The sequence below is a fragment of the Homo sapiens genome, chromosome 1 (assembly GCF_000001405.40).
Source record: "Homo sapiens chromosome 1, GRCh38.p14 Primary Assembly".
NCBI classification, from domain to species: Eukaryota; Metazoa; Chordata; class Mammalia; order Primates; family Hominidae; genus Homo; species Homo sapiens.
Genome location: NC_000001.11, coordinates 11208807 through 11222806, shown reverse-complemented (window position 1 = coordinate 11222806; position 14000 = coordinate 11208807). Strand labels below are relative to the sequence as shown.

General features: G+C 42.0%; 1 protein-coding gene across 8 annotated transcripts in view; it reads left to right on the top strand.

Moving 5' to 3' along the window:
• The window catches only part of MTOR (mechanistic target of rapamycin kinase), a 156017-nt gene that overhangs the window by 39745 nt on the left and 102272 nt on the right, over positions 1-14000 (top strand). For all 8 annotated transcript variants that reach the window (XR_007058581.1, NM_001386501.1, NM_004958.4 and 5 more), the window contains 6 exons: positions 6573-6659; positions 9241-9408; positions 9899-10011; positions 10333-10495; positions 11901-11993; positions 13349-13495. Coding sequence is in view for 7 of the 8 variants with exons in the window: in NM_001386501.1 (NP_001373430.1) it covers positions 6573-6659; positions 9241-9408; positions 9899-10011; positions 10333-10495; positions 11901-11993; positions 13349-13495 (771 nt within the window). In the remaining variant the exon portion in view is untranslated. The remainder of the gene's footprint in view (positions 1-6572; positions 6660-9240; positions 9409-9898; positions 10012-10332; positions 10496-11900; positions 11994-13348; positions 13496-14000) is intronic.

The following is a 14000-nucleotide window of genomic DNA, read 5'->3' as shown; positions in this document are numbered from 1 at the left end:
GCAAAATGGTGATTTTCTTACTTATATATATATTTTTTTTATTAAAAAAAATGTTTTTTTCCATGACATATCTCTCAGGAGCTCCTGAGAACATGTGCCCCAAAATGGTGATTTTCTAATTTGATTATTCCTTCTGGATTTATTAGCTAGAAAGTTCTTTAGAAATAAAGAACTTGGCTGGGCATGGTGGCTGTAATATCAGCACTTTGGGAGGCTGAGTTGAGAGGATTGCTTGAGCCCAGGAGGAGTGTAAGACCAACCTGGGCAGCATAGCAAAACCCCATCTCATTTTATTTAAAACATTTTTTTAGGCTGGGCGCAGTGGCCCACGCCTGTAATCCCAGCACTTTGGGAGGCCGAGGCGGGTGGATCACAAGGTCAGGAGATCAAGACCATCCTGGCTAACACGATGAAACCCTGTCTCTACTAAAAATACAAAAAAATTAGCCAGGCATGGTGGCAGGCACCTGTAGTCCCAGCTACGTGGGAGGCTGAGACAGGAGAATGGCATGAACCCGGGAGGTAGAGCTTGCAGTGAGCCGAGATTGGGCCACTGCACTCCAGCCTGGGTGACAGAGCGAGACTCCGTCTCAAAAAAAAAAAAAATTTTTTTTAAATAAATTTTAAAAAAGAACTTTATATAATCAACTACTGAGGTAATTTGAAGTGTAGATCATGTAGGAAAAGCAGAATACATGCATGAATCTTTCCCTTTATTTATCAATTTATCAATTTTTTAGTATAATGAGTCAAGCCTCTAACAGCTTTTCAGAGGTGAGCCAGGCACCTTCCCACCTCCCAATCCTACCCTCATTCTTTGGAGTATCAGTATGAACTCATGAAGATACATATATATATATAATTTATCTTTATTTATACTGTAAACCAAGTTGGTTGCACAGTCACTCAAAGAAGACTGTCAAGTGAAAGTCATTTAGTCATCTTATTGTTAATACTAATATTGGTCATTTACTTTACTACTTGTGTGTTTAAGAAAGATACATATATATATGTAATCTCACTAAAAGAAACAGAGCTCTCTATATAGAGTATTTCTATATATATAGAATATATATATGTATATATACACTATATATATATGTATATATAATATTTCTGTTCATTGCAGGCACCAATCTTTTTCACAATCAGATTGTCCTGATCACCCTGGCTGTTGTGTCCTTTTTACATGGCCCGGTAGACTTTCTTGCTTTCTGGCGGAAAAAAATTACTCCAAGCGTATCAAGTATATTTCACTCAAACCTGGGCATAGCCATTTCCAAGGAGCTCTGATTTCTTTTAGTGAGATTACATACATATATATATATTTTATAGATGTAAATAGAAAATGACCAATGTTAGTATTAACAATAAGATGACTAAATGTAGTTTAAGACTTTCAGTTGATATTCTTCTTGAGTGATTGTGCAGCCAACTTGGCTTATAGTTATACTCATTTGTTTCTGTTTATTTTCAATTTTTAGAAATTTCCTTGAGTTTACAAAAAATTTAGGCTGAGCGTGGTGGCTCACATCTGTAACCCCAACACTTTGGGAGGCCGAGGCAGGTGGATCACTCAAAGTCAGGAGTTTGAGACCAGCCTGGCCAACATGACGAAACCCCGTCTCTACTAAAAATACAAAGATTAGCCGGGCATGGTGGTGCATGCCTGTAGTCTCAGCTACTCAGGAGACTGAGGCAGGAGAATTTCTTGAACCCGGGAGACAGAGGTTGCAGTGAGCCAAGATTGGACCACTGCACTTCAGCCTGGGCGACAGAGGAAGACTCCATCTCCAAAAAAAAAAAAATTAACTTTTGTTTTAGTTATATAAGACATTAACATAGTTCCAGAGCTAGAACTATAAATAAAATCTTATCTAGCAACGTCTAGCTTCTGTCACCATCTTTATACCTCGTTTTCTTCCTTCCTTTATTATTTCCTATTGCTGCTATAACAGATTACCACAAATTTAGTGGCTTAACACAGATTTCTTATCTTACAGCTCTCTAGGTTATATTTCTGACATGAGGTCTCACTGGGCTAAAATCAAGATGTTGACAGGACTGTGTTCCCATCTGGAAGCTCTAGGGGAGAATTGTTTTCCTTGCTTTTTCTAGCTTCTAGAGCACGAGGAGTTGGACAAGCTTGTTTTAGAGGGTGCCTGCGTTCCTAGGCCCCCTTCCTCCATCTTATTAAACATTATTGTCGTTTTATGTCGTGTTTGTTTATATTCATCCACACATATTTCATGTCTCATCACCCTGTCTTCCATATTAGAGCTTTCTCCTAGAATCATATTCTTTCTTCATAGGACAAATTCCTCTTAGGAGCATTCATTGAAATAAACTGCTCTTATCTGAATAAGTCTTTATTTCACCCTCTTTTTAAATCTTCATTTGGAGATTTAAAAATTAAATTAAAAAATTTATTTTTTTAGCCAAGAATATTATTCTAGGTTCTCCTACAACTGTAGATACGATCCCACTTTCTGACTTCTTTTTGTTGCCGTTGAGAAATCGTGAATCCCTTTTACATATTTTTTCTGTGGCTTTACTTCTCATTGTTTTGTTATCCTGAAGTGTTTACTATTATATATCTAGATGTGAATTTCTTTTGATTATCCTGTTTGAGACTTGGAGGGCTTCCTGAATGTGAGGATTGGTATCTTATCAGTTCCTGAGAAATTCTCATCTATTATCTTTTTTGGAATTTTGTCCTTATACCCTTCTATTTTTTTTTTCTTTCTTTTCTTTTCTTTTCTTTTTTTTTTTTTTGAGATCAAGTCTCACTCTGCTGCCAGGCCGGAATGCAGTGGTACGATCTCGGTTAACTGCAACCTCCACCTTCCATGTTCGAGTGATCCTCATGCCTCAGCCTCCTGAGTAGCTGGAACTACAGGCGTGCACCACCATGCTGGCTAATTTTTTTTGTTTTTTGCATTTTCAATAGAGACAGGGTTTTACCATGTTGCCCAGGCTGGTCTTGAACTCCTGTCCTCAAGCAATCCACCCGCCTCAGCCTTCCAAAGTGCTGGAATTATAGGCATGAGCCACCGTGCCCAGCCTTATTCCCACTTTTTTTAAGGCATTTTAAACAGACTAAATTTTCTGTCGAATACTTCTATTATATATAAAACTCTTAGTGGGTCTGATTGTGTATATTGTTTCTGAGAAGTCATGCTTGTAGTGGTCTGTTTCCTCACGTGTTTTATAATTTCGAATCATATAGCATATTCAACTGGGCTTTCCCTGGAGCAATACTAGAAAATCTGCTCTAAATTTGCATCTTTCCAGAGAGGATGTGCATTTACTTCTGCCAGGTGGTCCATGAGAACTTTAATTTCTTGGCTTAGAGATTCCCAGGCCACACAGTTAGTGAAAATAAATCCCTAAACCTGTACAATAGATGCCTGAAATTATGAACTCTTAGGGGAGGCATTTTTCTGCCTAGACCCCACATCACAACTGGCAAATTTCTTTATCTCCTTTTACCAGTGGACAGATTTTTTTTTTTTAACTCACCATTTCTCTTAATATGTAGCTCTTTGAAAGTCTGGCTTTATGTGAGAGGCTTTAGTTCTTTTTTTTTTTTTGAAACAGGGTCTCACTTTGTTGCCCAGGCTGGAGCGCAGTGACATGATCTCAGCTCACTGTAACCTCACCTCTGAGGCTGAAGTGATCCTCCCACCTCAACCTTCCAAGTAACTGGGACTACAGACACATGCCACTATGCCCAGCTAATATATTTTTTTGTACTTCTGGTAGAGACAAGGTTTTGCCATGTTGCTCAGGCTGGTCTTAAACTTCTGAGCTCGGGGTGATCTGCCTACCTTGGCCTCCCAAAGTGCTGGGATTACAGGCGTGAGCCACTGCGCCTGGCCACTTCAGTTCTAATAATCTTATAATCATGTTTATATTTTTGTACTTAATTTTAGGCTTTTCATAGTGGGGGAGTTTGGAAGGAGATCTAGTGCATCATATTTTCAGGAGCAAAACTGTGTTCTTTTAAAATACTCATGTTCCGAGCAAAAAGAGAACACATGTGAAAGGCTAAGGAAGAAGAGGCAGCTCCTCTAGCTCTCTACTCAGCATTGAGGTGCTTGCCTGTCCATGTCCCTTGGGCAGCTACTCCTTATGAATAAGCCACGGAAATGCTCCCTAATCATGCCTAATAAAATGGCACCAAGGACCAGGAAGCTTGTTTCCTCTTTCTGTCTCTCAGTTTTCTCTGACCTCCCCGCCATCGCTGTAGGCCTGTTTTCCTCCAGCTTAGGTTTTCTACTTTCTTTCAGGCTTTGCATAATAAAAATTTGCCTGAAGAACCTTTATATTTAGTCTCATTTTCCTTGATCTTTGTAATAACATTTTTTTTTTTTTGAGATGGAGTCTCGCCCTGTCGCCCAGGTTGGAGTACAATGGTGTGACCTTAGCTCACTGCAACCTCCGCCTTCCGGTTTCAAGCAATTCTCCTGCCTCAGCCTCCCGAGTAGCTGGGATTACAGGCACATGCCACCATGCCCAGCTAAATTTTGTATTTTTAGTAGAGATGGGGTTTCACCATGTTGGCCAGGCTGATCTCAAACTCTTGACCTTGTGATCTGCCCGCCTCAGCCTCCCAAAGTGCTGGGATTACAGGCGTGAACCACCGCGCCCGGCCTGTAATAACATATTTGTATAGGGACCACTATACATATTTGTATGGGGAATCACTACAAAACTGTAGTGATTCAATTTGGGGAATGGTGGGGACCAGGAGATAGGTAGAAATGAGCCTACTGAGTCAAATGTGTGCCACATGGGGACCAGGCTGTAATCACCTTAGAAGTCAAAGTTATCATTAGGGAATATGTTCAAACTCTTCTTTAAGCCCAATCCTGTATGTCCTATCGATCTTGCCTCTTTGGGTAATGAGTACTATAAATCCATTACTCACTGTTTGAGATAGCACTTTTTTTTTTAAGTAATGCTTTTTATTTATTCCAACTTACCCGACTTGCATGTGGATAGGAGTGAAAATACATATGTTCATTTTCTAAATTATCCTTGTTAATGGAGAGAAACAAAGGCAGAGAGAGCTGTAAAAATTTGGGGAAGGGGGCCAGGCGTGGTGGCTCACGACTGTAATCGCAGCACTTTGGGAGGGCAAGGCGGGCGGATCATGAAGTCAAGAGAGCGAGACCATCCTGGCTAACACGGTGAAACCCTGTCTCTACTAAAAAAATACAAAAAAAAAAAAAAATTAGCCGGGCATGGTGGCGGGCGCCTGTAGTCCCAGCTACTCGGGAGGCAGAGGCAGGAGAATGGCTTGAACCCGGGAGGCTTGAACCCGGGAGCTTGCAGTGAGCCGAGATCATGCCACTGTACTCCAGCCTGGGTGACAGAGTGAGACTCTGTCTCAAAAAAAAAAAAATTGGGGGAAGGGGTGTCAAATATTATTTGCTACTTATTACTGGCGTGTAATACTATCTGAAGCTCATAACAAAATAAAACCTACATCTTGAAGACAAATCTTTAACCTGGAAAGTAGTTGAGATTTTCTTTACCCACACCTTCCTTATTCCCAGCTTTATTTAGTGCATGTTTTTTCTTCCTACACCTAAAAGGTACTGACTTCAGTAGAATCTCCTCATCCTATCCCTACCCCAGTTTGCTTGCTTATTTTGGCTCATAATCTCTCAGAGACATAGTTAATTAATTAAGACCTAAGTAATGAGTTAATTACTATAAATGAGCTACAATACCCATAATCAAGAGTTAGCTGTATTTATTTTAGGAAGGAAGTGGTAATTAATTAGAGCCAAATAAACAAAAGGTACATTTACAGTTGGTAAAAACTTTCAGGTTTATTTTTAAGTTTAGTAATTCCAGGAATCCTTCAATGATACAGACATTCATTGAGCACTGAATAGTATTCACGTCCCTGTTCTAGTGCTTGACATGAATTATCCCATTTAAGCCTTAGAAGTCTATGAGGTAAGTATTATTATCTCCATTTTCCCATGGAAGAGCCTGGGCACAGGGAGGTTAAATGAGGGTTACAAAGCCCCTGCTGTGCAGTAACTGGCTCGCCTTGTGTGTAAAAACCTCTGACAATTGTTTTGAGTCCCCACCACTATCACCATTTAAGTTTGTGTCTTTTTTTTTTTTTTTTTTAAGAGACAGGGTCTCACCCTGTCACCCTGCACTCTGTAGAGTGCAGTGGCACGTGCATAGCTCACTACAGCCTTGAACTTCTGGGCTCAAGCATTTCTCCCACCTTAGCATCCAGTAGCTAGAACTACAGGCAAGTGCCCAGCTAATTTTTTGTATTTTTTTTGTAGAGACAGGATCTCGCCATGTTGCCCAGGCTGTTCTTGAAATCTTGGCCTCAAGCAGTCCTCCCGCCTTGGCCTCCCAAAGCACTGAGCCTCCAAACCTAGCCAAGCTTGGGTCTTTGAAATATATTCTCAGTAGATAGTGTAGTGTGGAAACCCATTCCATAGTTGCCTTTATTTGTTCACATGAGCTTAAGGTAAGCCTGGGGGTTCAATGTCCTTCATGATACCAGCTGGTTGACCTCTTGTCCATTTCAGTTTTTGTTCCAGCAGCTGGGAATGTTGGTGTCCTTTGTGAAGAGCCACATCAGACCTTATATGGATGAAATAGTCACCCTCATGAGAGTGAGTAGAAGTTAATGCTTTGGCCTCTTCCATGTTTGGGTCAAGGAAGGCTCAGAAGCAAGTTTGAATGACATAGACTTTTTTTCACGGATCTTTGTAGAGCTGTTACAGTCTTAGTACAGGAAGTGGAACAAAGCCCACTGGATTTTGAGGGGGAGGAAGGGCTGTTGCTCCAGGTTCCCAGGTACAAAACTACAAGGCATGAAGGCTGAAGAGAAATCCTGCAGTAATTGTTCTGCCAGAAATAGACAATTGGGTTATTTGCCTCACACACAACAAAGCAATTTTACTTTAATATCACAAGGGTGCTTTTCTATTTTCATGAAAGCCCTCTTTGTTACTGCTCATAAACCATGAAGGGATTGGGTTTTCTTAGGGCTGTTAAATATGATGGACACGTGTTGGGCACCAAGGAACAAGGTGATGCTTTACCCTGCTACCTCCAAAACCATACATATCACCTTTTGACTGCAGTGGCACATGAGAAAAGGCTCAGGTTCCAGGATTTTATAACATGCATTAAGTAGGTGCCAGAAGACACCCCATGGGCAATATCATTTTTCCTTGTGTTCTATATAATTTAAATGTCTCTACGGGGAAGATTGCTTCACAGGGATGGCATGTCCTCAAAGAGTTGGAAGATTTCTGTTCTTTCACACCAGACCTTTGTAGTTAGTTTGGACTAAAATCAAAATGGCTGGACTATTTGATTTTAGCAGGACTAAAATCAAAATGGCTGGTTTCAAATGGAACTTCCCAGCACCTGGATCTCAGAACTGAAAACCTCCCTACATGTATAAATAATTAAAAGCTGCTCTATTCCCTGACTCTTACCACAGAAGCCTCTGTACAAGGAGGATTTAGGCAGAATGCTAAAGAGGCCGATGGCTAGTCTTAGTGGGAGGAGGGGCAAGGGAAGAAGCAGTGTCCTCATGGGAGGAGGATGAAGTAATCTGTGACTTAATCCCCCCAAGAAGGCTAAACAAGGATACAATATGACCATATTATAGTCATAACAGGTTGATGACCAAAACACAGGGAATTGAGGCAGGGAGCCTCACACCTGCAAAATACAGCTTTCATTTCATCCCAGATAGAGAAGGTGCAACGGGGGCTCTTCCTTTGACTGTTGATTCTGGGCATTTTAATGAGCTCCCCCGAGCCTGGGAAGAAAATAGTCTTTGTGAACAGTGATCCAGCTGACATCCCTTGGCAGGCTGCCTGACATCTTTGAGGTAGAGAAGCCCCTGTGAGGAGCTGATGATAATGCAGCTGGGAGGTAGGTTGGCCTTCTCTAAAGAAGGCAGAGTAGGGTTCAAGTGGATGAACATCAGACAGACTCTGGAGGCTGTGAAATCTGTGGTGTTTCTTTGGCAACACTTTTAACCTAGAAAACACAGCTTTTTCAGAGAGAATACTTCTCTCCAAGTAGAGAGAAAGGAAGTTTTACCAGCATCTTCTAGTATAGTTTTTGCTTTCTAAACCATTATGCTTTTAAAGATACCTTTTTAAATAAAAATACTATATCTTTTTATAAAGCCTTTCATCTGAGGAGTTATCCTTGTTGTTATGGACTTCTACTTTGAACTATTTAGAGGCTCCAAGAATATTAACATTCATGTGTTGCCATCATTAGTAGGGTTTCTATTATCATTAAATTTCCTACTCCAGAACTTTTAAAGATGGTGGTAGGCAGCTGTCTTTTTGAGTTGATAGAAATGATATCTTTTCCTGGAGTTAGAGGCTTGGACTAATTTGCTTTGCAGCACTGAGGCAGGATCTGTGGCCAGTTGGCCAAGTTTTTATTTTAGTAACTTGTGTGGAAAATAACCATGTGGGTGTAGAAAGGGGCTCATTTTGTGGCACTGTTCAGGCCTGATGGATAGATTTTTGGGAAGGGACAGATATCAGATGCTATCTATTAATAGCAAAATCTAAATCCAGAAAAGCCAGGAAATATTTGTAATACTGGAGTCACCCTCTGGTAGAGATCAGGTGATACCAAAGTAAGGTCCAAGTCCACCCTGGACCACTTCAGAGTTTTTTGAGTGACTTAGTCATCTGTTCATTCTAGAATATTCCAGATGCTCTGATTGATAGATTCTGGGGATACAGAGATAGGATACTTGTCCCTAAGTAGCCTACAGTCTAGAGGGAGGACAGCAAAGCAAAGGAAGTCTTACAACTGCTATCGCTATCAAAGGGAGTGCAAAGGACCCAAGTGGATCATGGAAGGAGAAGAAGAAAGCCTGCATGGGAGAAGTGAGGCTAGAGCCAGGTCTAGAAAGACAGACAGGGCTTAGCTGAGCAAGAAGTGGGATTCTAGGCAGAGGAAGCAGCATGAGCAAAGCCCAGAGGACTGAGGTAGCCTGGTGCATCTGGGGAAATGCAATTGAGTTTGTCCAGTGTAGCTGCAACATAGGACACAAGAAGGGCCCAGTGGGAGGAGGGGAGTGAGGAGTTGATCTCGGCGCAGACCATGCTCACTACAGTTTTGCTTTTCTGGCCATCTTGATTCCTTTGTTCATATATCATCAGAAAGGGACCTGACTCAGCTCCTCTGACTTTTCTCTCTTTGTAGGAATTCTGGGTCATGAACACCTCAATTCAGAGCACGATCATTCTTCTCATTGAGCAAATTGTGGTAGCTCTTGGGGGTGAATTTAAGCTCTACCTGCCCCAGCTGATCCCACACATGCTGCGTGTCTTCATGCATGACAACAGCCCAGGCCGCATTGTCTCTATCAAGGTGAGTAGCCTACGTCATCCTCCAGAGAGATTTTCTGATTTCCTCTGAGTCCCTGGGTGATCAGCTAAAAGCTGAGACCTCATTCTGAGTGACAGGTTGATGCCCATTCCATAAGACAGAATCCCAAGAATACTAATACCCAATGTGTGCAGTTTACAGAATGTCTGTAATCCTCTCTTGATTATCCTTATGTTTTGTATCTGTTTCAATGGATTAATCTTGGGAAATATTTTATCCCAGACTAATTTTCTTTATTTTCCAGCAACGGATTCCTTATCAACTCAAATAAGCACAGAGAAAGCAAAGTAATATGTAAGCAAATAAAATGAGGGGAAGAAAGTGCTATCAAAAGGATATAGTTCAAGGCCATTTAATAAAGAGTTTTCCCAGTCCCCAGAGAACTTTGAATTGTCTACACCACCACCCGCTGCGTGTCCTTAGATACTTGGGACCTGACTATTCATCACCATGCTTTTGCTCCCTTTTGCAGTTACTGGCTGCAATCCAGCTGTTTGGCGCCAACCTGGATGACTACCTGCATTTACTGCTGCCTCCTATTGTTAAGTTGTTTGATGCCCCTGAAGCTCCACTGCCATCTCGAAAGTGAGCACCTCCTCTTTGGGACTAGCAATCTTTAAGCTTTAATGTTTTGTTGAAAATGTTCATTTCTTAAGTTCCCAGGCCATCTTTCTATTTTTTTTGTTATTTCAACTCACATTATTTTAGTCTAGAAATATCCCAGGTTTATGGAAATCTTAACTGTCCCTATCCCATTGGAATAAATGTTGGATCCATGTCATCCAAAATACCTTAGAAGCCGTTCATTCCCATCCCTTTGGTGCTGATTGTTAAGCTCACCCTCAGTCACGTCTCTTCCTTGGAGATTGTATGTTAGCAGTTACTGTATGTTAGTGATTGTTGTAGGGCAGCGCTAGAGACTGTGGACCGCCTGACGGAGTCCCTGGATTTCACTGACTATGCCTCCCGGATCATTCACCCTATTGTTCGAACACTGGACCAGAGCCCAGAACTGCGCTCCACAGCCATGGACACGCTGTCTTCACTTGTTTTTCAGCTGGGGAAGAAGGTAAGATGGGAGTCTGGACAGACAGGTGCTCTTCTGCCTTATTTGGAAAGAAGACTTTGTCTGTGAGCCACTCAGACTTTGTCTGATGCCAGCCACCATCAGAGAACGTGGAATTACTTGCTTTTTTTCTTTTCATGTGTTCAGCAAACATTTATTGAGCAACCTATGTGAGCTAAGTGCCGTTCTGGGGGTAACACGGTAAACAGAATAAAGTCCTTGCTCTCATAGAGCTTCCATCCTGATGAAGCAAAGCAAATAAACAGTTTGTTTCTTAAGAGTGATGGGTTGAAGTGGGGAGAAGTGCTCTTTATTTAGGGTAGACAGAGAAGACCTCTGATCAGTTGACACTCAAGCAGAGACCTAGATAAAATAAAGGCCTGGTTGCAAAGAATTGGATGCAAGGAGAAGAAATAGCAAGTGCTAAGGTTGAGGTGGCAGCTTGCTCAAAGAGTTCAGGGCACAGCAGGAAAGCAGTGTGACTTCAGAGGAGCAAGCAATGGGGAAGTGCTTGTAGTTAAGGTGATGGAGATAAGGCAGAATAGTAGAGACTAGATTTTGTAGGCCTGGAGCTCTCAAAATATCATTCCTGGACAAGCAGTATCAGTGTCTACATACCTGAGAACTTGTTAGAAATGCAGATTCTTGAGCTAGGCACAGTGACTCACACCCGTAATTCCAGCAACTTGGGAGGCTGAGGCAAGAGGATTGCTTGAGATCAGGAGTTGGAGACCAACTCCAGACATAGCAAGACCCTGTCTCCACAAAAAAATTTAAAACTTAGCCAGGCGTAGGAACACGTGCCTGTGGTCCCAGCTACTCAGGAGGCTAAGGCAGAGGGATCGCTTGAGCCCAGGAGTTCCAGACTGCAGTGACCCCCATAATTGTGCCATTGCACTCCAGCCTGGGCAACAGAGCAAGACCTCATCTCACCTAAGACCTACTGAATCAGATCCTCTAGCTGTGGAGCCCAGCAGTCTCTGGTTTCATGAGCTGTCCAGGTGATTCTGACGCCCACTAAAATATGCAAATCACTATTGTGGGCCATTGTAAGTACTTTGGCTTTTACTCTGAGCAAGACTGGAAGTTTTTGGTGGACTTTGAACACAGGAAAAATAAGATCTGACTTAATATTTTTAAATGATAACTCAATGCCATGTGGGAAAATAGGCTGCGGGGGCAAGGGCAGAAGCAAAGATCTGTTAAGAGGCCACCATCATAAACCAGATGATGGGGACTTGAACTAGGATTATAACGGGAGATGGGAAGAAGGATTCTTTTGAATATCACAGAGCTAGCCACAAACCCAGAAGAAATGGTCATAATGTAGTTGTATAATATTTTTTCCTCTACTTTTTCTCCACTCTCCAAAATGATAGTTTCTCATCTCTTCCCCCTCCTGTTTTAGTACCAAATTTTCATTCCAATGGTGAATAAAGTTCTGGTGCGACACCGAATCAATCATCAGCGCTATGATGTGCTCATCTGCAGAATTGTCAAGGTGAACTATACTTCTTTTCTGTTCTGAAGTCCCTGTTGTCTTTACTACTTGATATTCTTGTAATCTTGGCTATGGGAGTTTGTGTAGCTTTTTGGCTGTAAATTAGGGATTGGCAAACTTTTTTCCAGTTTTGTAGACTATGTGGTCTCTTTTGCAGCTCCTCAGCTCTGCCACTACAGCCTGAGAGCAGCCATACACAATGTGTAAATGATGAGCCTGGCTGCATTCCACTAAAACTTTATTTATGGACACCTAAATTTGATTCTCTCAATTTTCATGTGTTGCAAAATATCAATCTTCTTTTGATTTTTTTTCCCCCCAACCATTTAAAAGTATAAAAACCCTTCTTAGCTCTTGGGCTATATAAAAACAGGCAGAGGGCTGGGTGCGGTGGCTCCCGCCTTGGGAGGCCAAGGCAGGTGGATTGCTTGAGCCCAGGAGTTTGAGACCAGCCTGGGCAACATGGTAAAACCCCATCTGTACAAAAAATACAAAAAATTAGCTGGTCATGATGGCGGGTACCTGTGGTCCCAGTTACCGAGGAGGCTGAAGTGGGAGGATCACCTGAGGCTGCAGTGAGCTGTGATTGCACCAGTGCACTCCAGCCTGGGTGGCAGAGTGAGACCCTATCTCAAAGTAGATTAAAGGCTAGGCACAGGGGCTCATGCCTGTAATCCCACAACTTTGAGAGGCTGAGGCGGGAGGATCACTTGAGGTCAGGAGTTCAAGACCAGCCTGGCCAACATGGCGAAACCTCGTCTCCATTAAAAATACAAAAATTAGCCGGGCATGGTGGTGTGCACCTGTAGTCCCAACTATTCAGGAGGCTCAGGCAAGAGAATTGCTTGAACCCAGGAGGCAGAGGTTGCAGTGAGCTGAGATTGCGCTACTGCACTCCAGCCTGAGAGACAGAGCTAGACTCTGTCTCAAAAAAATAAGTAAATAAATAGGTTCGATTAGATAGGCAGGTAGGGAGTGGCACAAATAAATAAGTGAATAGATGATTCTTTTTAAAAAGTTTTAAAAAGCCAGGGGATGGGGGCTGTTTGCCACCTTTGCTCCAAACACTTTATCACTTTTCCCATTGCCGACAATTGTTTATCTTTGCTAGTTGCATGGTTGCTTGATCTTAATACTAAGTCAGTGCTTGTCAGTAACTAGGAGTGACTAGCAAAGACTGTCTACAGTTGGGGAGTCAGCCCATCTGTGGTTCATTTTGTCCATATGTGCAACTTTTTACTTCTTACTGAAATCCTGGCTCTACCAGGTCTGCACCTCCCAAAATTTAAGGATATTTCCTAAACCAGAAGCATCTAGTAGAGTTATAGGTGTTTCCTATAAATCTTTGGTTGTAGGGATACACACTTGCTGATGAAGAGGAGGATCCTTTGATTTACCAGCATCGGATGCTTAGGAGTGGCCAAGGGGATGCATTGGCTAGTGGACCAGTGGAAACAGGACCCATGAAGAAACTGCACGTCAGCACCATCAACCTCCAAAAGGCAAGTCCATTGTTTCAGGTGACTGGGAAAGGAGAGCTCTGCTCTTCTCACTTACTCAAAACTTTTAACTGTTTAAACTGGGCAACCGAAAACCAGCCCAGGTGTTTTTTCCAGAAATCTAGATACCATGAACTTAGATCATTTTGTCTTTTTACAGGTGCCTAAATTGTAATTTTGTTTTGAATAGAGAAAAAGTAGAGAACAAAATGTCCTTTTGTGCTCCCTTGGAATATGGATGGTAGAACCTTTTGTTGCAAATACATTCTCATTTTTTACATGAAGGGAACAAAGCTAGTGAGCCCCCTAGTTGGCATTGAGACTGATGAAGGCTCTTTCAAACAGTGCTTTTCAAACTTCTCAAACTCATTGGGCTTACCAGTTGCTGGGAGTCTTGTAAAAATGCTTATTCTGTTGTTGGCAGTCTGATTTGGGGCCTGATATTCTGCATTTCTGACAAGCTGCCAGCTAATGTGATGCTGCTGGTCCATGGACCATACTTTGAGTA